Source organism: Homo sapiens, chromosome 11 (genome assembly GCF_000001405.40).
Source record: "Homo sapiens chromosome 11, GRCh38.p14 Primary Assembly".
Lineage (NCBI taxonomy): Eukaryota > Metazoa > Chordata > Mammalia > Primates > Hominidae > Homo > Homo sapiens.
Window position 1 is genome coordinate 134224486 of NC_000011.10, and position 23544 is coordinate 134248029.

At 48.6% G+C, this 23544-nt stretch overlaps 2 protein-coding genes across 3 annotated transcripts in view, besides 3 other annotated features; one reads left to right on the plus strand and one right to left on the minus strand.

Moving 5' to 3' along the window:
* Positions 1 to 976, minus strand: part of NCAPD3 (non-SMC condensin II complex subunit D3) — a 75349-nt gene extending 74373 nt beyond the window's left edge. The window contains exon 1 of the mRNA NM_001372070.1: positions 612 to 976. The gene's annotated coding sequence lies outside the window, so the exon portion shown is untranslated. The remainder of the gene's footprint in view (positions 1 to 611) is intronic.
* Positions 93 to 562: a silencer, noted in NCBI's record as "silent region_4094". NCBI's record gives its function as "represses an Ori minimal core promoter by ATAC-STARR-seq in GM12878 lymphoblastoid cells {active_cell/tissue: GM12878}" and the evidence as "EXISTENCE:reporter gene assay evidence [ECO:0000049][PMID:35858748]".
* VPS26B (VPS26 retromer complex component B) lies at positions 186 to 23303 on the plus strand. 2 transcript variants are annotated; one of them, NM_052875.5, is made up of 6 exons: positions 186 to 860; positions 10412 to 10568; positions 15506 to 15670; positions 18634 to 18809; positions 20453 to 20595; positions 20959 to 23303. In NM_052875.5, exons 1-6 carry the CDS (start codon positions 638 to 640, stop codon positions 21103 to 21105), a joined length of 1011 nt encoding a protein of 336 aa, NP_443107.1. In that variant the 5' UTR covers positions 186 to 637; the 3' UTR covers positions 21106 to 23303. The 2 variants fall into 2 exon arrangements, with proteins under 2 accessions (NP_443107.1, XP_011540867.1); XM_011542565.4 differs by lacking the exons at positions 18634 to 18809; positions 20453 to 20595; positions 20959 to 23303 and adding an exon at positions 15980 to 16595.
* Positions 763 to 822: an enhancer, noted in NCBI's record as "active region_5769". NCBI's record gives its function as "activates an Ori minimal core promoter by ATAC-STARR-seq in GM12878 lymphoblastoid cells {active_cell/tissue: GM12878}" and the evidence as "EXISTENCE:reporter gene assay evidence [ECO:0000049][PMID:35858748]".
* Positions 923 to 1072: an enhancer, noted in NCBI's record as "active region_5770". NCBI's record gives its function as "activates an Ori minimal core promoter by ATAC-STARR-seq in GM12878 lymphoblastoid cells {active_cell/tissue: GM12878}" and the evidence as "EXISTENCE:reporter gene assay evidence [ECO:0000049][PMID:35858748]".
* Positions 23304 to 23544: the final 241 nt, after the last annotated feature.

The following is a 23544-nucleotide window of genomic DNA, read 5'->3' on the forward strand; positions in this document are numbered from 1 at the left end:
AGAGCCTGTCCCAGCGAGGTAGCAGCTGCCATGCCGACCGCTGGAGCGCCGGCCGCGCTCTCCCTGCGCATGCGCAGCGAGCTCTCCTCCGGGCTGCCGGGAGTCCCAGGAGCGTTAGGGGGTGCGCCTGCGCGCCGCTGCTCCAGCGCATCCGGGCTGGAGCTCGCCCGCCCCCTCCCCCGCCCGGAGCCGCCGAAGCGCCTCGGTGCGTTGCACCGCCGGAGGCTGGGCAGCTCGCAGCGCTGCTCGGCGCTGGACCCCACCCGGCAGGCGCAGGCCACCCACACCCGGCTCTGTGCGGCTGCCCCCCGCAGCATTGCACGGCCGACCCTCGCCCGCCCACTGCCACCGGCCGCGGGACTGGCTGGGACTGGCTCGGCCGAGGGCACTGCTCCTCGGTGCATTGCTGCTCGGGCGCCGCAGCCCGCAGCCGCCAGCCTCCCCCGGCCGTGCCCCTCCCCCGTGGAGCCGGCTGTCCGTCGGCGCCCACTGCCCGGCGGCAGCGGCGGAGCCAGGCAGCCCCGCGGCGGCCGAGCGCGCTCGCGCATCGGGCCCTCTGGCCTTCTTTACCTAGGGCAGCCCGCGCCCCGGTGCGAGGGAGCGGTCCTTACCGAGACCCGCCCGGCCCGGCGGTGCGATGAGCTTCTTCGGCTTCGGGCAGAGCGTGGAGGTGGAAATCCTTCTGAACGATGCAGAGAGTAGGAAGCGGGCCGAGCACAAGACGGAGGACGGGAAGAAGGAGAAATATTTCCTCTTCTACGACGGGGAGACGGTCTCCGGGAAGGTGAGCCTTGCCCTCAAGAACCCCAACAAGCGGCTGGAGCACCAGGGCATCAAGATCGAGTTCATCGGGCAGATCGGTGAGTCGACCCCCGGGACCCCCTCCCCCAGCGCCGACAGCCGGCCGGGGAGCAGGGTGATTCAGGGCCCAGCTCCTCCGGCGAGGCCTGTCACAGTCGCTTGTCAACTGCAGTCTGAGGCCTGGGGTTCAGCTACAAGTCCCGCCCGTGGGCGACTCCCCCTGCGTTACTGTCCTCCCTGCCAAAAGTGACAGCGCGCTGCCAGGGAGATGGGGACGGCGAGGGCGGGAGGAAGCGCCCTGCTGTGCCTCGTGGGATGGGCACCTTGCCTATGGGTTCTCCCCATTGTCTCCGGCATGCACTCGGCTTTGCTTCTTGTCCCCAGGATTTCTGGGTGAGGTGCTCTGGCCATAGCCTGCAGGTGGGTTTGTTAGGGGGAGACCGCTCTGCCAATACTGGCTTTCCCATCGCCCGGCCATCTGCAACTGCCAGACGCAAAGTGAGGCTCGTCCACCGAGCCCCACTTCCCAGAGCCCGCACCAACCCGTTTTTCTCTTTAGATGTGGTGTGAGAGAGCTAACCAGTTCTCTCTTACCTCACCTCAGCCCTGAACTACCTATGCTTGTACATGTTTCCAGAAAGAAGACCCATAATCTTCAGTCTAAATCTGACTACCTAGGCTGCGTTTCTTAGACTTCTTTATTAGAATGCAAGTTTTCAGTTACCACATTTTCTGTTTAAAGACAAAGAAATGGTGTTTCTAAAAACCACAATTAAGTGATCAGAGTTTCTCAATGCTTTAAACATGATTATTAATCATTGGAACTAGACAGCGCCAGGCACAGTGGCTGATGCCTACAATCCCAGCACTTTGAGAGGCTGAAGTGGGAGGATTGCTTGAGGCCAGGAGTTGGAGACCAGCCTGGGCAATATAGCAAGACCTGCCTCTACCCCCAAAAATTTTTTTGTAATTAGCTGGTCGTGGTGGTGCTTGCCGGTAGTCCTAGCTCCTCGGGGGGCTAAGATGGGAGGATTGTTTGAACCCAGGAGTTCCAGGCAGCAGTGAGCTGTGATAACACCACAGCACTCCAGCCTGGGTGACAACCAGCAAGACCCTGTCTCAAAAAAATAAACAAATAAACAAATAAGAACTAGACAGTAAAAGGCAGTAATGGTAAAGTGATTTGGGGAGCTCCCAGTCAAGACTGGGTCGTCTCCAATTCTAAGCCTTATTTAGACTCTTGTGTATTATTAAAATGCTTGGGTACTTTTAAAATAAGTTGTTTTTGTCGTTAGGTTAGGAGTAGAATCACAGTAAATACCCTGTGAGCTACACACCTCTGGTAGAGAATCCATACCGATACCACACACTGCATACATAACTCTGTTTTTAGAGACTTCCTTGGGGAATCTTTGTTAAACTCTCTTATCCTGAGAGTTTAGCAAAGAATTTGCCGTCTTTTTTTCACAGAGGCAGGAAACACGGAGACACAGGTAGGAGAAACCCTGGGAAAAGGAGGCCTTGTGGCCTGGCTCTTGGGTTCACTGCTCAGCCTCAAGCATTTTGCCTCTGGTATTTAAGAACATGAAATCAGGTTGAAGACTGGCTGATCTTACAGGAAGCTCTTTGTTGTTATTTTAAAGCCAGAATATGAAAGGTCTTAGTGTACCAGAAAAGGGGCCGAAGAGTGAGTTCCATGCCTTCTGCTTTCCTGCTTCTGGGTTCAATGGTGGGGTAGATGGCAAGGTTCCTCAGTAGCAGCACTGTGATGTCTGGCATCGTTTGGCATGTTGTCATGGGATGTTTAGCAGCATTCCCAGCCTCTACTGACCAGACAACAGTAGCATCCCCCACTTGCGACCACAAAAATGTCTTCAGATATTGCTGTATATCCTCTGGAGGGTAAAATCATCTCTAGCAAAGAACCCCAGGATAAACAGGATGAGTCCAAAGCATATTATGCTACGCATAGTAAATAGTCGAGAAATCCTTGCCTATTGAGCAAGGTATTTTTTAGTAGCAGTTTTAAAGTTATTGCATTGATTCTTTGGCTCCATAATAATAATTAGTGTTGGCAGGCATGTTTAGTCTGTGTCTATACCATCACTCCCAGATGGTGGTACCTTACCAGTATGTGAAAGATAACCCAGAATGTCTTCTGCCCCAGACAGTGTGAAATTAGCTGTTCTAGGAACCGTGTCAAGGCCTTCCTCTGGTCTAAATGAAAGGGAGTTGAAGAAACTGCTTGCTGTTCCTGCCCCACCTGATTTCTTGTCTATCTCCTTACTCCTGAGACATCCATCATCCCTGCTGAATTTTCTCAGAACCTTTTGTTGCTTCCACTAGTAACTCTTCCCGGGCCCTTGGCCACCCTGCACTGAGTTGACCATGAGACTGGGGGAATTTAGCCACTCTCTGGGCCTCGGCTTTCTCAGCTACCAAGCAAGGAAAATAACATCACTTGGTGAGAATGTTGGGCATGCCAGGGGATCATGCATGACCCTTATAGAGGGTTCCTTTATAAAATTATGGTAGTTGTAGTAAAATGTTTCCATTTCACAAATTGAGTTATCACCCACTGGCTTGCTGCTCTTCCTCCTGTACCTGTTTTACCTGAAGAAGATCGCCCTGTCTACTGATAAGGAGTGCATGTTTCAACCCTTTGCCTTAAATTTCTTACTTTGGCCACATGGGCCAGTCTCAGTTGGTGTTGTAGATGGAGCCAGTCCCAGCTTTGTGCTGAAGTATATTGTTCACGCTCAATTATCCATGGTTACGTGAGGACATGGAAGTAGAATAACACAGAATGATGGACAATATGTTTCTGATTATTTGGCTTTGGGATGTATTTCTTGATCAAGAACAAGGCATTAGAATAACCTTTGTAGTTCTATTTGATGTAAAAGGGAGTTTGTGTTCCTGAAATACACACATGGACAGGGAGTAAAGATGTACTATTTGGAAGTCTATTTGGAGGCACAGAGTGACTTTTCTTAGACAACATGTTTCTTATTATTTGGCTTTGGGATGTATTTCTTGATCAAGAACAAGGCATTAGAATAACCTTTGTAGTTCTATTCGATGTAAAAGGGAGTTTGTGTTCCTGAAATACACACATGGACAGGGAGTAAAGATGTACTATTTGGAAGTCTATTTGGAGGCACAGAGTGACTTTTCTTAGACAATATGTTTCTTATTATTTGGCTTTGGGATGTATTTCTTGATCAAGAACAAGGCATTAGAATAACCTTTGTAGTTCTATTCGATGTAAAAGGGAGTTTGTGTTCCTGAAATACACACATTGACAGGGAGTGAAGATGTACTATTTGGAAGTCTATTTGGAGGCACAGAGTGACTTTTCTTAAACTCTTATATTCCTCCTATTTTATCTTCCTGGTTCCCCGAAAGAAGCATGTTGTGAAGTATTTGTGTCATACACCTGTGTCAGTCATTGTAAACTGAGCTTGGGGCACCAGAGCGAGGCTAGTGAGTGAGTTTGCTGAAGCTGCGGTCGTGTGGTTTTCTCCTTCATTGCATTCTTTGACTATGTGTGAGATGGGTGGAACTTCAGTCTGTTCTGAGGTCTGGCTGACGGGGTGGCATATGGCAGTAATCAAGTTGATAGCACTGAGCTCTGTCCCTCTTCCTTGTTAATTTGGAGGCAGGCAGGCAGAGGTGTCACTTTTATCCTGTCACTTGCTGTGGCAATCTCATCTGCACCGATGACTTATTTTCTTTGTTTTTTATTTAAAAAATTTTTTGAGACATGGTCTCACTCCGTCACCCAGGCTAGAGTGCAGTGCCACGATCACAGCTCACTGCAGCCTCAACCCCCTGGGCTCAAGCAATCCTCCCATCTCTGCCTCCCAAGTAGCTGAGACTACAGGTGCATGCCACCATACCCAGCTAATTTTTTAAATTTTATGTAGAGACAGGGTCTGTCTTTATTGCCCAGGCTGGTCTGGAACTCAAGCGATCCTCCTGCCTTGGCCTCCCAGAGTGCTGGGATTACATACATGAGTCACTGTGCTGAGCCCCATGAATTATATTCTGATGACTCCCAGACTGTTTCTTTGTTCTGACCCGACCTCTCTTCTGAGTTTCACACGTCTTTGAAGCTGTCTGCTAGACATGTCCACCGGGATACCCTACAGGTGCCTCAGTAATGCATGCAAACACAAACCCCTCTCTCTGTCTCTGCTTCAGCCACAGCCCCACTGCGTCTCCTTTTTTCCCCATTTCGGCCTATGTCAGCTGGGATCATTTAGCCTCAGAAATCTAGAAGTCATTTTGAAGTCTTGGCTCCTCCTCCCACACATGCAGTTGGCTGCTAAGTTTTGGCCTTCTCTGCTGGTTCTGCAGTATATCTCAAACCAGTGTCTCCTCTCTCTTCTCAATGCCACTGCCTTTTATTTTCTGTTTGTAGCAGCTTCCTAAGTGGTCTTCCTGCCTTTGTCTTCCTCCCCTTTCAGGTCATTTTCTGTGAGGATGAAGTTTCTTAAAGGCAGTTCTATCATTGTCAGTCCTTTCTTAAAATTCTCGCCTCCCTATTGGTTAATGGGGGAAAGTATATCCAAATCCCTCCTGCTCTGGCCCTCCCTCTCTTTCCAGCCTCGTCTCCCCTAACCCTTCACTCTCACCGCTTGTGGGTTCCACAAACTATCCTTTTCTTCTGGAATCTTGGTATTTTCCCTTTGTATAGTAACATCTTTCTGCAAGATATAACCTTCCACCCAAGCTCTTACTCCTTCAAAGCCTAGCTAACATCACATCCATCAGAAAGTCTTCTCTGACTTCCCCAGGCTGACTTAAGTGCTTCCTCCACTGTTCTTCCAGAGGCCTCATTAATACCTCTTTTCAAGCCGGGTATGACAAGCTTGTGACTTTTTTAAAAAACTTGTCTGTCTTTCTTACTAATTTCTGAGCACCTGAGATCCAGGGACTGCCTTCAGCCCATCATTAGTGCAGTGGCTAGCACATAGAAGGTGCCTAGTAAATATTTGTTGAATGGATATATTGGTCAAATCTAAGAATTTACAGAAACTATTCTTTGTTGTTGTTTTGTTTCATTTTGTTTTCTTTCCTTTTCCCACATCTCCTCCCAGATAAGCAAGAGTTGTTTTAATGAAAGAAAGACAGAAATCAGGTTTGTTTTGGTGGTTGAGCAGCTGAGCTTCCTGCCTTTGTTGTGGAGGAGGCATTGATGAGCAACATGTGGTTGTCCATCAAGGCCACTGACAACTCGGTGACTCTCCAGCTGGTGTGCCCCCACTGGGGCTGCGTCCTCACTGGGGGAACTGGGATAAGGAAGTATTAAAGCTGATGTCAGTTTACCTGCCTTTACATCTTTCTTTCCTCACACTCTTCTGTGCCAAGTTGAAACTGATATCCCCTTGTGTGTAAGAACGTAAGAGTTGTCAAACCTCTGGCCCGTTTGGTCCTGCACCACTGCTCAGATGTGGCAGTTTGAACGTTGCCTCCTGAGACTATAATATCTTATTTATTCACTTATGTGGTGGACGTTTTTCTGTTATCCTCTGCAAGTTTTCGAGCCACACTGGGATCCTTCCTGTACCTAGGATACTTTTCCAGTGGCTTGGTCTGTGTTCTAACAATGCCAACACATGTGGTGAGGGCATCTCTTGGGTCAGGCCCATGGGACAGAAAGGTCTAAGACCTAGTCATCCTACTGGCCCACGTCTTTAGGAAGATGCAGTAGTCTGTAAGGAGCACTGCAAGGAAAAACTGTAACTGTGAGAAGAAGAGACCGTTGTTGAGCTGGAATCCTTTGGGGAACACCAGTGAAGTTTAGAAAGCAGACCTGGGCCGCCTTGGAGACTAATGGGTTAAATAAACCAAACGTAATTAGAAGGTCAGACATGCGGAGGAGGGCAGACAGGAACATCCCTGCACTCCAAAGCCAACAGACATTATCTGGATTTTTTTTTTTTTTTAGGTTTTAATAAGCCCATTAATACCAATCAAGCCCATACTTTTAAAAACTCCAGGGGCTTTCTGTATTTTAATTCATTAGCCCTTGAAACACTAAGTAAAAGGCACATTAAGATGAGGTGGATTGATTCTGGCCTACTTAACAAGCTGCTGGTGGGACTGGAGCAGAGCTGCGCCTGGTGAGGCGTGGGCCGCTCAGAGGTGCCAGTGCTTCTGGGTTTCACAGGGTTGGCAGACAGGAGTAGGGTGTGGTAAGCACGAATCCTGACAGTGGCCAGCCAGCAGACAGTGGCTGGGAGGGTCAGATGAAGAGGAGGCTCTTTGGAGGGCTTTTTTTTTTTTTTGAGACGGAGTCTTGCTCTGTCGCCCAGGATAGAGTGCAATGGCACAATCTCAGCTCACTGCAACCTCTGCCTCCCGGATTCAAGCAATTCTCCTGCCTCAGCCTCCCGAGTAGCTGGGATTACAGATGCCCACCACCTCGTCTGGCTAATCTGTGTATTTTTAGTAGTGACAGGGTTTCACCGTCTTGGCCAGGCTGGTCTCAAACTCCTGACCTCGTGATCCACCCGCCTTGGCCTCCCAAAGTGCTGGGATTACAGGCATGAACCACTACGCCTGGCCTTTGGAGGTCTTTTTATGCTTTGCTGACTTAGGTTTCTTCCAAAACTGCACGAGGCCTAGACTAAACATGGCCTTAGCCAAGCAGCAAAGCTCAGGGCGGCTGTCATGGGTGACCTGTGATGCAAAGCTGGCTCAGTTTCCTTCCAGAATGGCAAATTCACTTCTCAACTGTTGGTGGCAAGTTTCACCATGAAAACATCCTGAGTACAAAAGTTATTTCCTCCTGTTGGACTGAGAAGGAAACCAAAGACAGGATAGTTACCTTAACCAAAAACTTACTCAGTTCCTACTTCTAGCCTGACACGTCTGGTCCCTGAGGACTGGTGATTGGGAAGAATGAAAGATGACGCGTGGTTGCTTCTTTGGGACGGAATAGAGGCTATTTACAATCTCTTTAGGGCCCAGACCTCTCGTGAGAACAGCCTTGGATTTTTGTTTTAATTTATGCAAGAGGAAACCAAACTTTCTGGCAAATAGGAAGCATCGCTGTGTCTGCCCCTTTGCCCCACAGTGTTTGCAGAAGTATTGCAGATGGCTTATAAAGGATAGATTAAAAAGGCCAGGCCAGCCCTGCTGTGACTGCACACTGGCCACTCTTCCATGACATTTGATGTCAGAGCTGATATTAACATGTGTGCAGGAGGAAAGGCACTAGGGAGAACGTGATGCTATGCAGGGAATGACTTCTCCTGCTCCAGGTGCCCTGCTGGGGCAGGCCGAACCTTCTGCACTGTTGCTAGGCTCCACAATGCTGGCAGCCTGAGCGCTCTCTGTGCCTTCTCTGTTTTGTTTATTCCTGATGTTGCCTTTGGGCTGTGTGATCGCATTTCTGTATTTTTCCATCCTTTTCTTCTCCTCTTCCTCTTGACTCTGGACCATTGATTCTGGACACTGGGGCCTTGCTCTGCCTGCTTCTGTCCCCTGAAACTATGGCCAGAATCTAGTGCTTAGAAACTGAGGTACCAGGTTCCCAAGTCAAGGTTTCGGCTTCCACACGAAAGCCAACACCATCGACCAGGACTCATGCAACAAGAGTAAGCCGAGGAGTCCCTGTCCCCGGGGCTGGCCGCGGCTCCGCTTCTGCCTGTCATATACTTCTGACTTTTATTGGGGGGGCACAATTACTGGATTGCTCACTTTCCACCCATAATTTGGAGCTGCCACCTCCCACTCTGAGGCTTTGTGGATTATCACTCACTAACCAGAATGCTGCCTACTATTGAAACCACTGAGTGTTTGGAAAGGAAGGTCATTGTTTGTAATAAAAGATTGTGGCTGATTGTAGTTACACGGGAAATCAGCCACAAGCCACAGCCACACAATACACTGTGAATTCATACAGAAGTGGCATCACTAGTGTGGGATCCCAGAGACTCCAGTCTGTGGACTCGCCTCTTCCTCCCCAAGCAGCAAACAACAGAGGCAATGAGTGTGCTCCGCCTGCTCTGTGTTCCCAATTCATCTGCCCCGCTGCAAGTTGCAGTCTAGCACGGGACTTGAACACAGAATCCTTGAGGGGTGGTGGCTTGAACTGTAATGTGGCCATGCATAGCCACAGTCAGTATTAAGAGCTTACCTCGGCCGGGCACGGTGGCTCGCGCCTGTAATCCCAGCACTTTGGGAGGCCAAGGCGGTTAGATCACGAGGTCAGGAGATCGAGACCATCCTGGCTAACATGGTGAAACCCCATCTCTACTAAAAATACAAAAACAATTAGCTGGGCGTGGTGGCAGATGCCTGTAGTCTCAGCTTCTTGGGAGGCTGAGGCAGAAGAATTGCTTGAACCCAGGAGGCGGAGGTTGCAGTGAGTCGAGATCACACTACTGCACTCCAGCCTGGGCGACAGAGCGAGACTCTGTCTCAAAAAACAAACAAAAAAAGCTCACTTGTGCAGGGCCAGGTTCTAGGAAGCACCAGGGAGCTGGGGATGTGGGCCTTATCTTTAAAGGGCCTGCAGTCCACAGTGGGAGCGGGGGAGACCAGGTATGTAGCAAAACTTATACTTAAATAGAATATAAGCAAACATAAAATAATATAGGACAAATGGGTGGCATGAACTTATCATCAAAAAATACCAGAACTATTTCCTGAAGAGGATAAATTTAGAGCAATGCTTCTTAAAGCGTGGAAGTGTGGTAGCAGCCGTCCTGGGGAGCTTATCAGAAGGGCCAGTTCTCAGGCCCCATCCCAGACTCCTGAATCAGAAACACTAGGGTGGAGTCCAGCCATCTGTGTGTTAACCAGCTCTCTCAGTGACTCTGGTGCACACTAAAGTTCGACACCCCCTGATTTCAGTGGAGGGAATAACATGAAAATGTCCATGTTCGATTGGCCACATGCCTTCCTTTTGGAGTAATAACAGCAGCTACTAACGATGTTTTTGAGTATTTGCTGTGTACTAGATACTGTTCTAAGTCTTTTACCTACATCACCCCTGCTACTTCACACAGAGCCTTGTGAAGTAGGTTGTGTCATGACCTGCATTATACCAGCTGATAGAAATAGACGCAGTCTAGAAGGAGACCTGCTCTAGTCTCAGCTCTGCAGCCAGCTCTGCGACTCCAGGCCAGTCAGTTAAGCATGCTGTGCCTGGGTTTCCATCGTCTTTTAAACGGGGTGATAAGACCTGTCTTAGCTGTGTCAGAAGATTATTATTATAAGGATGATATGATTAAATAGCTATATCCTTTCGGAAGTTGGAAGTGTTAAATGCTGTTTAAAGAAGTGTGGCATTTCTTATATTGGCTCCCATGACTTACCCTTATTAAAAGATGGTGTCCGAGTGTCTTGGAGCAGGATTATTTTGGGTTCCTTTTCTGCCACGGGATTTCACTATATAAGACAGAAAAGCCTTTGGAGAAGAAGGAGGGAGTGAAAGAGCAGAGGTCAAGAAAACAAGGCTAGAAGGGGTCTGTTCTGCAGGGAGGTCCTTCCAGAAAGCAGTCCCTCCAGCCTACAGCCTCCAGCCCCCTACTCGGCCCGGTGTAGCTCAGGGTCTGATAAAGGAGGGCGTCGCATCGCTGTCTCTCACCAGAACTCTACTACGATCGCGGGAACCACCATGAGTTTGTGTCCCTGGTGAAGGACCTGGCCCGGCCTGGAGAGATCACCCAGTCGCAGGCCTTCGACTTTGAGTTTACCCACGTGGAGAAGCCGTATGAGTCCTACACAGGGCAGAATGTGAAGCTACGGTAAGTGATGTCTGCTGGTTCCCCACTGTACCCTAGAACCTGCCCCATGTGGACAAGGACCTGAGGCCGTCCCCACTTTGAGAATCTTCACAGGGATCCCGAGAAGGAAGAGTGTCGCGAGCTGTGGCGTGCTGGTAAACCATTAACCGTGGGCCTTCTAGGAGGAAAGTGGCCCTAGGTTGTAGCATGTGTCAATTTCTGTAGTGTACATAGCCCCGCCATGGCCAATTTCAAGCTACCTAATGTTCCTAAATGTAGAGGTGGGAGAGATGTGCTATTACCATCATATGGAGACACATTCCCTCAAGAGCAGAGAGCATTGTAAAGGGCCGGAAAATAGGAAGTGATGAGATTTTCGCATGTCTTACCTTTGTTTTTAACATGATTCATTTAATTGTGAGTTTATATAATTTAACTTTAAATAATTGCTGTGTTTAACAGCCAGGTCATAAAATTCCTGAAAGTTCAACGTCAGCCACCCCCAGCACACTCCTGCTGGCTGGGTGTCAGGAGATCCTGACCTGCTGTCCGGCTCTGCCACACAGCTGCAGTGTGACCTTGAGCTCTGTAACTCAGCTTTCTCACTTCAAAGTGGGTAATGGACTTGGATTCTAATTCTAGATGTCCTCTTCTTTTGGGGGTGATAAGAAAATAAAGTTCTTAAAATGTGAACACATAGGTACATGGATTGTTTTTACTGTTATAGTGTTGGAAACTCTGAGAATAGAGACTGATGCCAAGGTCTTTTGGGTGAAAAAAAATCTACAGCAGATATAGACTGTTAGGTGTAAACTTGAGGTTATGTGATGCTACTGGGATAAAGCAGTCTCCCCTGTGACTCTGAACACCTGATTCCAGGTCTTGATACCATCTCATAAGATCGGTTTATCTCCTCACCTGAGGACCTGAGTTTAGGATGGTACACACCACAAGACCTTTAACTTCTTTTCTTTCTCTGTCCTCCCTTCTTCCATCAGAAGAGTGAAGGCTCTTTTTAAATCTTTGCAGAGGTGGTGGTTCACGCCTGTGATCCTGGCACCTTGGCCAGGAATTCGACACCAGCCTGGGCAACATATTGAGACCCTATCTCTACGAAAAAAAAAAATTTTTTTAATTTTTTTAAAAGAAAAAAAACAAATCTTTGCAGAGAGGTCTAAGACTGACATTACACCCAGTAAAGACAGTGTCTCATAATCGCACCCAGAGAATGCAGCAACCGCGAGGATCATCTAGTCATCACTTCAGTTTGACCGAGGGATTTATTATTTAATTTTTTTTTCTTTTGCAGTGGATTTGTCTTAAGCGTTTGTACGGCAGAAAGAAAGGTGTTGAAACCAGTATAGCAGTGCCTCAAAAAATTAAACAGAATTACCATATGATCTAGCAATTCCTCTTTTGGATCCAGAAGCGGATCCAAAAGAATGGAAAACAGGATCTCGAACGGATATCTGTACACCCATATTCACAGCAGCATTATTCGCAATAACCAAAAGGTAGAAGCAACCCAAGTGTCCATCAGTGGGTAAATGGACACAGGAAATGTGTTTTGTCCGTACAGTGGACTGTTATACAGCCTTCAAAAGGAAGGACATTCTGTCCTATGCTACAACATGGGTGAACCTAAAGGACATTGTGCTACGTGAAAGAAGCCTGTCACAAAAGGACAAATACTGTCTGATTCCATATATATGAGGTACCCAGAGCAGTCAAATTCATAGAGACAGAAAATAGAATGGTAGAGGCCCAGGGCTGAGGGAAGGAGGAAATGGGGGTTGGTGTTTAATGAGTAGAGTTTCAGTGGCGGAAGGTGGAAAAGTTCTGGAGACTGATGGTGATGTTTGCACAATACGAATATCATTAATGCCACTGAACTGTATAATTAAAAATTGTTAAAGTGGTAAATTTTATGTTATACGTATTTTGCCACAATAAAAGAAAAGTGTTAATGTCCAAATCACATGAAGACTTTAGGATTCATGTTGCGAAAGAGAGGAGGTAGAGATAGGAAAATTAGTTGAGGACAGTTTAAAGATGTAACTTCCAGATTAAAAGCTTTTTCTTATTACACAGGCAGAGGGAAAACATGAAAAGATTATTGTGGACTTTTCTTTTGTCTTTAGGCAGAGAAAAGGTTATTTTGGAAGATTGGAGTCCATATGTAGCATTTGGTGGATGGGAAGAGTGTAGAGACAAAACTATCAGAAGGCTATTGTGAGGTCCTCCGAGTATGATTTTGGTGGCTGTAATGGGAACAAAGAGAAAGTGAGGAATGTAACAGACACCAGCAGAGATTACCAGTGAGTGCAGGCATGCAGCCGTGGAGATGGAGACAGAGGGCTATCAGGAGGAAGAAATGATCTGGAGATAAGGTGATTCATCCAGCTCTAGAGGGCAGGCTGAAATACTGGCAAAATAGAGAAAGCATAAAAGTTTAGCAGACAATTGGAAGCGCAGACCTGGCACTAAGGACAGAGGGGACACTTAGAAATGTGCAGTCAGGACTGATCTGCTCAGAGGTCATAACTGATACGTTTTTGAAGAAAGGGAGCACAAGGAGAGGAGAGCCAGGACCCACCAGGGCATGGCAGGAGGAGGAGAGGGGGGTGAATCAGGGCAGCGCCTCTGTGGAACCGCGGGAAGAGTGTTTCAAGGAAGAAGTGTTTCACGGGACGCAGAATCAAGGGCTGCTGGATTTGGCAGCTGGGAGGCCATGGGTTACTGACCTCGAGGCGAGCGGTTTCTGTTGGGTGGTGGAGACAGAAGCAAGGGGTTGGGAGGAGTGGTTCGTGGAGAAGCCTCAGCTGTTGGTGCAGAACCCGCCTTGTGACAGTTGTCTCTGAAGAAAGGAAAAGAAAGTATGGTAGGTCAAGAGGGTAAGGCCTGGAGAGGGTTCTTGGGATTGGTGACTTTGGAAACCAATTTTTTAATAAGCTCAGAGGAAAAGGCCTTTAGCTAGAGGGAGATTGATGATCTTGGGGAAATCAGAATATGTAGAAGGATCCAGATGCCGGACCAAGGCTTCCACATTAGAATCATGTGGGAAGCTTTTTAAAATGCGAATGCCTGTGTCCCTTTCCAGACAATCACATATCAGGTGTGCCCAGGCAGCAGGATTCTTAAGGGCTCTCCTCTCCTGGTGATTTCATTGTGCATCCATATGGAGAGTTCTTGGGCCGGAGTGGGGAGGAGAGGTCTTGAGAGGGAGAGGTGCTGTTGGAGACAGGATGGGTGAAAATGCAGAGACATGTTTAGGCCTTAAGTAAGGAACAAAGCAGAGGAAGGAGCACATTGTAAGTCTTGACTGGGAAGGCCTTCATCTTCTTAGTGGAGTAAAAGTCAGTGTCTTCCCAGACAGCGGGGTGGGGAGACTTGGGAGGCTGAGCAGTTAGAAGAGGGCTAGGGACAGGTGTCTTGGGCAGTGTGATGGTTACTGAGGTGAACCGAAAGGATCCCCAAGAAGCAGCCAGTGCCACACAGAGGATAGTAGCCGAAATGTGTAGTTGGTATGGCTAGCATATCTTTATGTATTTATTTATTTATTTTTATTTGATTTTATTTTTTAGACGGAGTCTCGCTCTGTTGCCCAGGCTGGAGTGCAGTGGCTTGATCTCGGCTCACCGCAAGCTCCGCCTCCTGGGTTCACGCCATTCTCCTGCCTCAGCCTCCCGAGTAGCTGGGACTACAGGCGCCCGCCACCACGCCCGGCTAATTTTTTGTATTTTTAGTAGAGACGGGGTTTCACTGTGTTAGCCAGGATGGTCTCGATCTCCTGACCTCGTGATCCGCCCGCCTCTGCCTCCCAAAGTGCTGGGATTACAGGCGTGAACCACCGCGCCTGGCCATATCTTTATAACTTCATCTGGTAATGCTTGACAGATGGTGGGGATTATCTAAGTTTTATTTAAAAGAAAATACAATTTATTATATTACATTAGATTATATTAAAATAATGTTTTATGGAGAAGGAAATACAATTAAAGAGCTCCTCCTCATTGAGTGTTAGCACAGTGCTAAGTGCCGGGGATGACAGTGCTGCACTGGCGGGCCACAGAGGGCAGCTTGTTAAACCCTTCAGGGCTGTGTCTCTGTCTTCTCTCTCATCCCCTCCACAGCAGCGTCCTCCCCAGGGATCCTAGGTTCAGCCAGAGACTTGTTATTCAACAGACCAGGTCCTGTCTGCCCCTGTGGCATATAAGGTTTGCTCTCCTGGAATGCCCTTTTCTCCCTCCACACAGCACTGGATCGCAGCATCTCAATTAGCCCTTTCCGTGTGTTCCCATTTCTCTATTTGCCCATCTCCCCCGGTGAACTGTGAGCTTCCCATGAGACTGTATCTTATTCATCCTGTGCTTAGCCCAGTGCTTAGCTCAGTAAATGTTTGTGGAATGAATAGCTGACTTAATTTCTCTCTTTCCTAGTCCCCTCTTTTAACTTAAGAAAGGTTTATTGGGACACTTTAAAAAGGTTTATTGATTGAATATTGTTCGGTGAACAAACATGCAAAGATAAAACTACGAGACGGACTCCTTTGCCCCAAAAGCCAGGAGTTAGCTGATGAAATAAAACCTGTACACAAATACATGGTCAGTAGTGGTAAGGGCCGTGAAAGGCCCAAGAATAACATGTGATTGGGGTACAAGGCAGAGAAATCACTTTCCCTTACAGCAGGATTCTTGACCCGGGGGCATGGGCTCCCTAGAGGGATTTGGGGGAAGGGTCTTTGAACTCCCTAGAATTGTGGTTGAAAAGGTCTCTGTATAGGTACATATGTGCATCTTTCCCTGGAAGAGGGTCTGTAACTTCTTAAAAGGATACAAAGCCCTCAAGGGTTAAGAACCTTTGTACAGGCTTCTCTCAAGTGGGCCAATTTGGTACCTATATCTAGGTAGCATCTGGAGACTGGGAGTGTTTATTCATGACAGTTCCGTCTCCTACAGCTATTTCCTTCGTGCTACCATCAGCCGCCGCCTCAATGATGTTGTCAAAGAGATGGACATTGTAGTTCACACACTCAGCACATACCCAGAGCTGAACTCTTCCATCAAGATGGAGGTTGGGATTGAGGACTGTCTGCACATTGAATTTGAGTACAATAAATCCAAGTAAGTGTCTCAGTGCCAAGGTTGTGAAATGATTATTTAAGGAGGTTAAGATGGGACTTGATGCAGATGCAAACTGATGACCCTCTGTGACTCGACTGCTTTGTGGTGGCATGCGGTGGGGGAAGACCGTGGGAGCAATCCAGTGAGTGTCTATGGCAGGCCAGCTGCAGCTGGACCGACCACGACGTAAACACTTCATTTACCTAAACTAAACCATATTCAACTAAGGTGGTGTCTTTAAGTTAAACATCCTATGATGCCTCTCAGTCAAGCTAAACTAACTTGAGGTTATTTGTTTTGGAATTCCAGCTTCAGCTGTTTCCCGCTACTGCTAAGAACAATCTCAGAATACCATTCCATTATCATGTGCTCCCTCCATCTGTGTCTTCAGAAATCAAAGCGACGAAACCAAATATTGGCCATGATTTGCTGCTTCCTCCCTGAACTAAAATGAATTATAGCAAAGAATATTGGATTTTTTTTTCAAGATGGGGTACAGTGGCCCAGTCATGGCTTACTACAGCCTTGACCTCCTAGACTCAAGCATTTCTCTCACCTCCGCCCCTACAAGTAGCTAGGAGCACAGGCATGCACCGCCACACCCAGCTAATTTGTGTCCGTGTGTGTGTGTGTGTGTCCGTGTGTGTGTGTGTGTGTGTGTGTGTGTGTGTGTAGCCAAGGTTTCATAATGTTGCCCAGGCTGGTCTTGAACTACTGAGCTCGTGATCTGCCTGCCTTGGCTTCCCACAGCGCTGGGACTACAGGCATGAGCCACCATGCCCAGCCCTGATGTATTTTTTATAAAAGTCTTAAAATGACTTTATTTTAACTGGCAAGTTGGGAAGATGTATATCTTTTAAACTGTGTTTACTGTTAGAACATCAAAATAATTAGCCAGTTATAAATAAATCACAAAACTTTCTGACAGGGTATTTCAAAAGCATCTTTCTTTTGAATATGATATTCCTGAGAATGTTTGGAACTCAAATATCCAAAAGTAGAAAGGGTATTCTATTCACAGAGAGCTATACAAAGAAGCCACAAAGTCTCTAAGTAGGATTTTCATTGTGGCACCCCCTGGACCACTGTCATCCAGAGGCTGGGAGCAGTGGGAGCTGCACCAGATGGCTCACCTTTGAAGGGTCAGGAACAGAACTTTTTAAAACTAGGAACATATATGGTTCTTGGAACAGGGTTGGAGGAATGGTGTGTTTTTTCCCCTGGCAGGCCTGGAACCTAGAGGGCCCCAGGAAAATGACCAGTGTGACCCAGAATTGGCTCTGCCTCGCCTAAGCCCACCAGTGAACAGAGAGTGAGGCAAGGTGGGAGGGAGGCTGATCTGGGCCTGGCATGGGAACAGGTTCTCCCCCTTTCTCCTTATAGCCTCAGGGCTCTGCGGTCCTGCCCAGAAAGGAGCCATCCAGAGTGCCTACCCACTACTGTCCTGACCATCTGGTGAAGGCAGAGGCCAGCAGCTGTGCCACCCGTAGGAGCTCAAAGCAGCCACTGGTCATCAGTGCATGCCAGACCAAAGCTAGTGTGGAAAAGGTGCTCTAGAGAGGCAGGGACGGGACACTTTCAGACCACACCTCTCCTTGCACAGCGAGCTGCTCTGTGTGAGTGCCTGATTTATATGCCAGAGAACTCCAGACTTGGAACCAGGTCCTGCTCTTACACTAAGAAGTTGGGCGGTCAGCAGATACTAACATTTTGTATCTCGGCTTCTCATCTGTAAAACGAGGAGCTTGGACCAGATCAGTGGGTTTCAAACACACAGAAAGTGTGAGGTGGCAGCGGAGCTGAGATCCTTAGACCCTCTGGCCTTCCGCTTTTCTTCCATCCACAAGCAACGTTTTTGTTGGGTTTTTGTTTTTTGTTTTTTAACTCTCCCCGCTTACACCTAGAGCAGCTTTTGCTTCTGTATAACATTTAGAATACAGGAATGTGTGATTTGTAGGAGTTTGAAAACATCTCGAATCCATGGTCTCTAAGCATCCCCTGTAAGATGGCGCAGGTGGTCTCCTGCTGCTTTTGCAAATTTGCTGAGGCTGTTTGCTCAGGTGTCTGCAGTCTTCCTGTAGCCTGTGCACAGAAGGGTGGTGTGAAACAGTGGGGAACACTCCAGCCTGGGGACTAGGATCCTGGGTTTACCACCTTTCTCTACCCCCTACTCACATCCTGGTTATCCAAGAGAACATTATCTCTTTTCTTCCAACTGCCTTTTCTTCACCTGTAATATAAGGAGGCTGAATTCTGATGTCCATGCCAGCATTCTTATCCTGTGAGCTGAGCATCAGGTTTTAAGATTTTACTCGTTCTCTCATGCCTGATACGGGCTGTGCACATGTAGACTATTGACTGACCCAGAGAAAAAACCCTGAGGGTCAGGAAGTGTTACCCAATGTGGCTCACTTCGTAACAACTCACAAGGCCAGGCCAGCGGAGCCCAGAAAGCAGGCGCTGATGCCGAGAGTGATTTGCTCTTCTCACTCTACTGCTGCTGCCTGGCCTGTCGGCCTAGAGCGGACAGAACTGTGTGCTTTGAGCCATCCAGGTCCAGTTCTCTAAAGACATTGTGTGGAGATCAGAGGAAGGGAGAGACTGGTCCCTGCGCTTGTGGGACTAGCCTCTCATACATTAGGATATCTTTCAAAAACACAAATATAAAAGGTACTAAAGCAGCTGCATGCTGGGGAGATAGAGCAGATGAACAAACATGAATGGGTACCATGCAGGAGAGACGTCCTTTGCGTGGGATGTGGAAGGGACAGAAGCTACTTTAATCCAAGTAAAGACCGCACTGGGAAACAGTTCAGCCACAGCCATGTGGGCAGTGATGGGTGAGTGTGTCCTGCAACTGGACGTTTAACCAGCACGCTTGGCCGTGGCGTGTGCGCTCTACTGAAACAGAAAGGTCTGGCCACAGTACCAACATCTTACTTTCTGTACTTTCTGTTCCCCAGATACCACTTGAAAGATGTCATTGTAGGGAAGATATACTTCCTGCTGGTGAGAATCAAAATCAAGCACATGGAGATAGACATCATCAAGCGAGAAACGACGGGTACAGGCCCCAACGTGTACCATGAGAATGACACGATAGCCAAGTACGAGATCATGGACGGGGCACCAGTGCGAGGTGAGACTCCAGGCCCAGGCCTCGGCTACCACAGCTTTTCTCCCATGTCCTGCACAGAATTCTGGAGGGGCTTGAGGGATTACACTGTCAAAATAAGATGTCCTCTTAACCTGTAACTTCTTAATCTCTCAGTTTACACCGTGGGTGGCCATAAGGAAGAAAAGGAAGGCTGAGTGTGTAGAACTTGAGGCTACTATCCCATCTTCACCCTGAAAAGTTGCACTTAGACTTGGATTATATATCGGGCTTGTACTGAAGATTGAACCTCAAGCGTCACTTTGGAAGGTCCAGGTTTAGCAGATGTGGTTTGAAAACGTTTCTGCTTCTTCCTGTTGACATTCTGGCATTCTCTGCTGCTCAGGAGCAAGGGATGCATGCACAGCAGCCTGTCTGTGACTTGGCTCTAGCTCCGATTTATTTTCTGAATTCACTTGTCAGGTAGAAAGAGCACTACTAGATACTTCAGCCAACACCACCAGGTACCCAGATAGCCCTGGAATTTGCTGGAAGCATCCTCTCCCAGCCCCAGGGAGCTAACATTACATCTGGGTTAGTAGAGCTGGAAGCCCTTTGTCATTTGGGGACCGTGATTATCTGGAAGAAGCAATCATTTACATTCTTCATTGGCTCTTTAGCCATCCCTCAGGAATGGCGAAGACTCTTCATTTTGAAGTGCATGGTGCTTCCAGGGTTTTATTGGCTTATTCCTTTTACTCCCACAGGCTGTTCCATGTGGAAGGAGGAGCGCCACAGATTTAGCTGCCTGCAGCTCTGGGGACACGCGGGTGTTACCATGCCAGGCCCTTGGAGGGTTGGGACCAAGCTCTCCTGACACTCTCTGATGTCCCATTTTGTCACTGGCTGTGCAAATAGAGCCAGCTGTCATTTTTCCTGTACAAATGAAATGGGTCACTGAGAATGCATGTAAAAGAGCAGATAATGATAAGATGGCTTATATTTAGCTTTAGACCACATTATAGGTTTGGCCTTTCTTGGTAGAATTACTGCCCTAATTTTGTTCCACTGATACTAGAAACGGTCTGATGTTAGAGCTGGAAGGGATCTGTAGTATCACGCAGTCCGATTCTCTAATTTTCCACATGAGAAAATGAAGGTCCAGAGGAAGCAGAGACTTAACTCACAAATCAGAAAAGCGGTTCTTGCAGAACTGAGGCCATAGTGAGGACTTTCTGCTTTCCACCATACCACCTTGCCAGTCCACACAAGAGGGAGGATGTATTTTGGGGGGCATACACTGAGGATGGAGAAAGATGGCATCAGAACTGCTGGGTGAAGTGGTGGCTTAACTGGACTTTGACAGCTGCCTTTTGAAAACCCCAAAACTAAACACACTGCATGTAATCAAAAGATGCTTATACTAATAATGACCTGTGCTGTTCCCACTCAGTTGCTCTCTGTTTTCGAGAAGACATGAGAAGCTGCAACATGACCTGGAGTGGAACTGGAGAGTCACATTTTTGTTTCAGCCACCTGCTGGGCAGCAGAGCGACTGCACCTTCCCAGAAGGCTGAAGTGCTCGTGTGCTGCACTCCAGTGGCATCTCTGCAGTGGTCAGAGTGACCTGGTATAAGGGAGAGGGCATCACCTTGCCCCCTGTGCTGACTCCTGCCCTCCCCCTACAGGAGAGTCCATCCCGATCCGGCTCTTCCTGGCCGGGTATGAGCTCACGCCCACCATGCGGGACATCAACAAGAAGTTCTCTGTGCGCTATTACCTCAACCTGGTGCTGATAGACGAGGAGGAGCGGCGCTACTTCAAGCAGCAGGTGAGGGCCAGGCTCCTCCAGGCCCCGATGCCCTTGGGACAGAACAGGAGGCTCTCTTTCCTATGGAAGGTCAGACTCCATTTTTGCCAAGAGGTGGGAACATTAGGTCGCCCACAATTGCACAACAAGAATGAGGATTCTCACCTGGCCTTAGAGTCTGCTTCCTCGGGCCTTCTCCTGCAACCACCTGCCCTTTTGGCCCACACCAGGGACAGGGAGGTGCTGGCAGCTGCTGCCTTTGGTGAGAGAGAAGCAGAGGAGGTCCTTGCCCGAGATTCCCCACGTCAAAGTTGGGAGCCTCTAGGAAACCTGTCCCCATGCCTCCCTCTAAGGTGTCACATTGCCCCCCTTTCAATTCTGCAGGAAGTGGTGTTGTGGCGGAAGGGTGACATCGTACGGAAGAGCATGTCCCACCAGGCGGCCATCGCCTCACAGCGCTTTGAGGGCACCACCTCCCTGGGTGAGGTGCGGACCCCCAGCCAGCTGTCTGACAACAACTGCAGGCAGTAGGCCCCCAGGGCCGAGAAGATGCTGGGCACCCACCCAGCACCCCCATCTACCAACACCAGCGGCTGGGGGCGGGGGCGGACCTTGTGAGGCTCAGTTGACCCGTTACTTGCAACCTGAAAACAAATCATGTTTTTGACTTAAATTCTTTTCTCTGGAGAACCCAAGGGGCTTGGGGTGGGAAGCAGTCTCTCCTTGGGATTCTGCGGCCGATGTGGGATAGAAGAGGTAGCATCCTGGAAGCCAGCCTCTCTGGGGAACATGAGCCCCCTTCCTCGGGGGGCTGCCTTGCGTCTTAGAGGAGGGAGAGCAGAGAGCACGCATCCTTGGCTCCTGGCTCTCTGAGCTTCCTGATACAGGATCTGAGCATGTCCCTGGGATTCTGAGCTGCCAACAGGGCCCTGGGTAGTCACATCTTGTACTCCCCTTTGCTGTCCCGGAGGTAGTGGCAGGAGTTGGGCCAGCCCCCACTAAGTGGCAGGGGAAGACTCACGATTGGGAAGCTACCTCTTTGGGAATCTTGGATGTGGTGATCTCAAGTTCCCACAGGCCACCTCCTTCTGGCCACTCACTGCTGGGACCCAGGCACCTCCCTTCTCCATCCTCTCTGGATTGTCAGTAATGTCCTGGAACAGAAGCCTGTGGGATGGCCTTGGGCACGGAGAAGCCCTGGGGTCAGTGTCGTGCACGGATGGCGGCAGTGTTGAACCCAGGAGGCTGAACCCGGCCCACCACGGAAGATGAGTGCATGGCAACCGCCTGCCTTCACGTCGCTCCACTTGGTAACCCCAAGGTCTGGGCTGTTCTAGGTATTGCTTCACGTGCCCCAGCAAGCCCTTAACAAGAGGGCCTGGTTCCCTGAAGAACCAATCCCAGGAAGGGGCCTTGATCCCTCCGCCTTGCTGAGAGTGAACCCTCGTCTCTCCTCACCCTCCATTTCATTTCTGGGAATTGGGGCTTAGTTTCGAACCTTTGGCAAGGCTGTTCTTACTAATGCCCAAGCCCCTTTACCCCTCTCCCTATAGGTTACACAGGGGAGACCAGGGCCTCGGCAGAAGACTGCTGCCACACTTCCGAATCATTCTGCTTGCCAAATAGGTCATCTTCACCAGTTGACTGACCCAAGTTTAGGACCATTGGTATCGTGTGTTTAAAAAACACATATAAAAAAACTCTTGTGAATATTCTTGTTATGCTAGAGAGGAAGGTACTTCTCCCTCTACGGCTCTGCGCTGGGGCCTATGGTAGTAAAGTTGTTTACTGTCCTTTTTCTGCTTCCCCTGGAAATGACAGGCATTACTCTCCCATTGGCCTCCCTTCCCTTTATAGAAAGACCAAGCAGGCCCCACTGGCCAAGAGGTACGGTATTTGGCAGTCTGAGTTCTCAGTAATTTGGAAAGTTAAGGAGTTGGTTCCTGTGTCACCTTTCAGTTAGTGTGGGAAAGGAAGACTTCTGTTTTCCTGAGATCAGTGCAGTCTCAGGCCTTTGGCAGGGCTCATGGATCAGAGCTGAGACTGGAGGGAGAGGCATTTTGGGTAGCCTAGGAGGGCGACTGGCGGCAGCAGAACCGAGGAAGGCAAGGTTGTTTCCCCCACGCTGTGTCCTGTGTTCAGGTGCGACACACAATCCTCATGGGAACAGGATCACCCATGCGCTGCCCTTGATGATCAAGGTTGGGGCTTAAGTGGATAAGGGAGGCAAGTTCTGGGTTCCTTGCCTTTTCAGAGCATGAGGTCAGGCTCTGTATCCCTCCTTTTCCTAGCTGATATTCTAACTAGAAGCATTTGTCAATTCCTTTGCCTCCCAACTGACAACACACGTTCATTTTCCAACCTTCCTAACATCTTAAACCTTTCTTCTGGGAGAACTAGAAGACAGAATTTGCTTTGATTCTCTCAGGCGCTGTGCACAAGCCAGGTCTTCTGTTTTCTCTTTCTTACTCTACCCACATTCTTGCCTTCTCTATCCAACTGTGAAAGTGAGGGGAGGCTCCTGTCCCCCTCTCTTAAGGTCCCCAAACCTGGGAGTGCATAGGTACTAAATCAAGCAGTGCAACTTGTAATTAAGCAGCTGCAGTGTTTACATGTTTCTTAATGTGTCATCTTTTCAATGGCTGTATTAAAAGAAGAACGTTTGTTTTAATGGTCTTTCTGATTAAAGAAAGCCCCTGTGGCTTTGGAGGCATTGTGCCCACGGTCCACCAAGTTCTGTGGTCTCTTCCGTCTTACATGGTCCCAACTCCGACACTCAGGGAAAGACAGATCCCTGCCCTGATTTCCCTACATAGTGCCTGTGCTCTCACTGTATAGCCCCGGGTGAAAAATGATGAATACTTTATTAGCCACCTGTTTGAGACAAGCACATGGCTGAGAAATGAATTCAGTTCTTATCCCTATCTGGCAGTTTATCCAGAACTGCTCATGGGATGGTTTAAACCTCTG

What these genes read in the sequence shown, in the direction of transcription:
- VPS26B (NM_052875.5), top strand. Translation starts at nt 638, where the DNA reads ATGAGCTTCTTCGGCTTCGGGCAGAGCGTGGAGGTGGAAATCCTTCTG. An exon ending in GGGCAGAATGTGAAGCTACG is followed by an intron (nt 10,569 to 15,505) that starts GTAAGTGATGTC and finishes CGTCTCCTACAG; the next exon opens with CTATTTCCTTCGTGCTACCA. An exon ending in GGCGCTACTTCAAGCAGCAG is followed by an intron (nt 20,596 to 20,958) that starts GTGAGGGCCAGG and finishes TCAATTCTGCAG; the next exon opens with GAAGTGGTGTTGTGGCGGAA.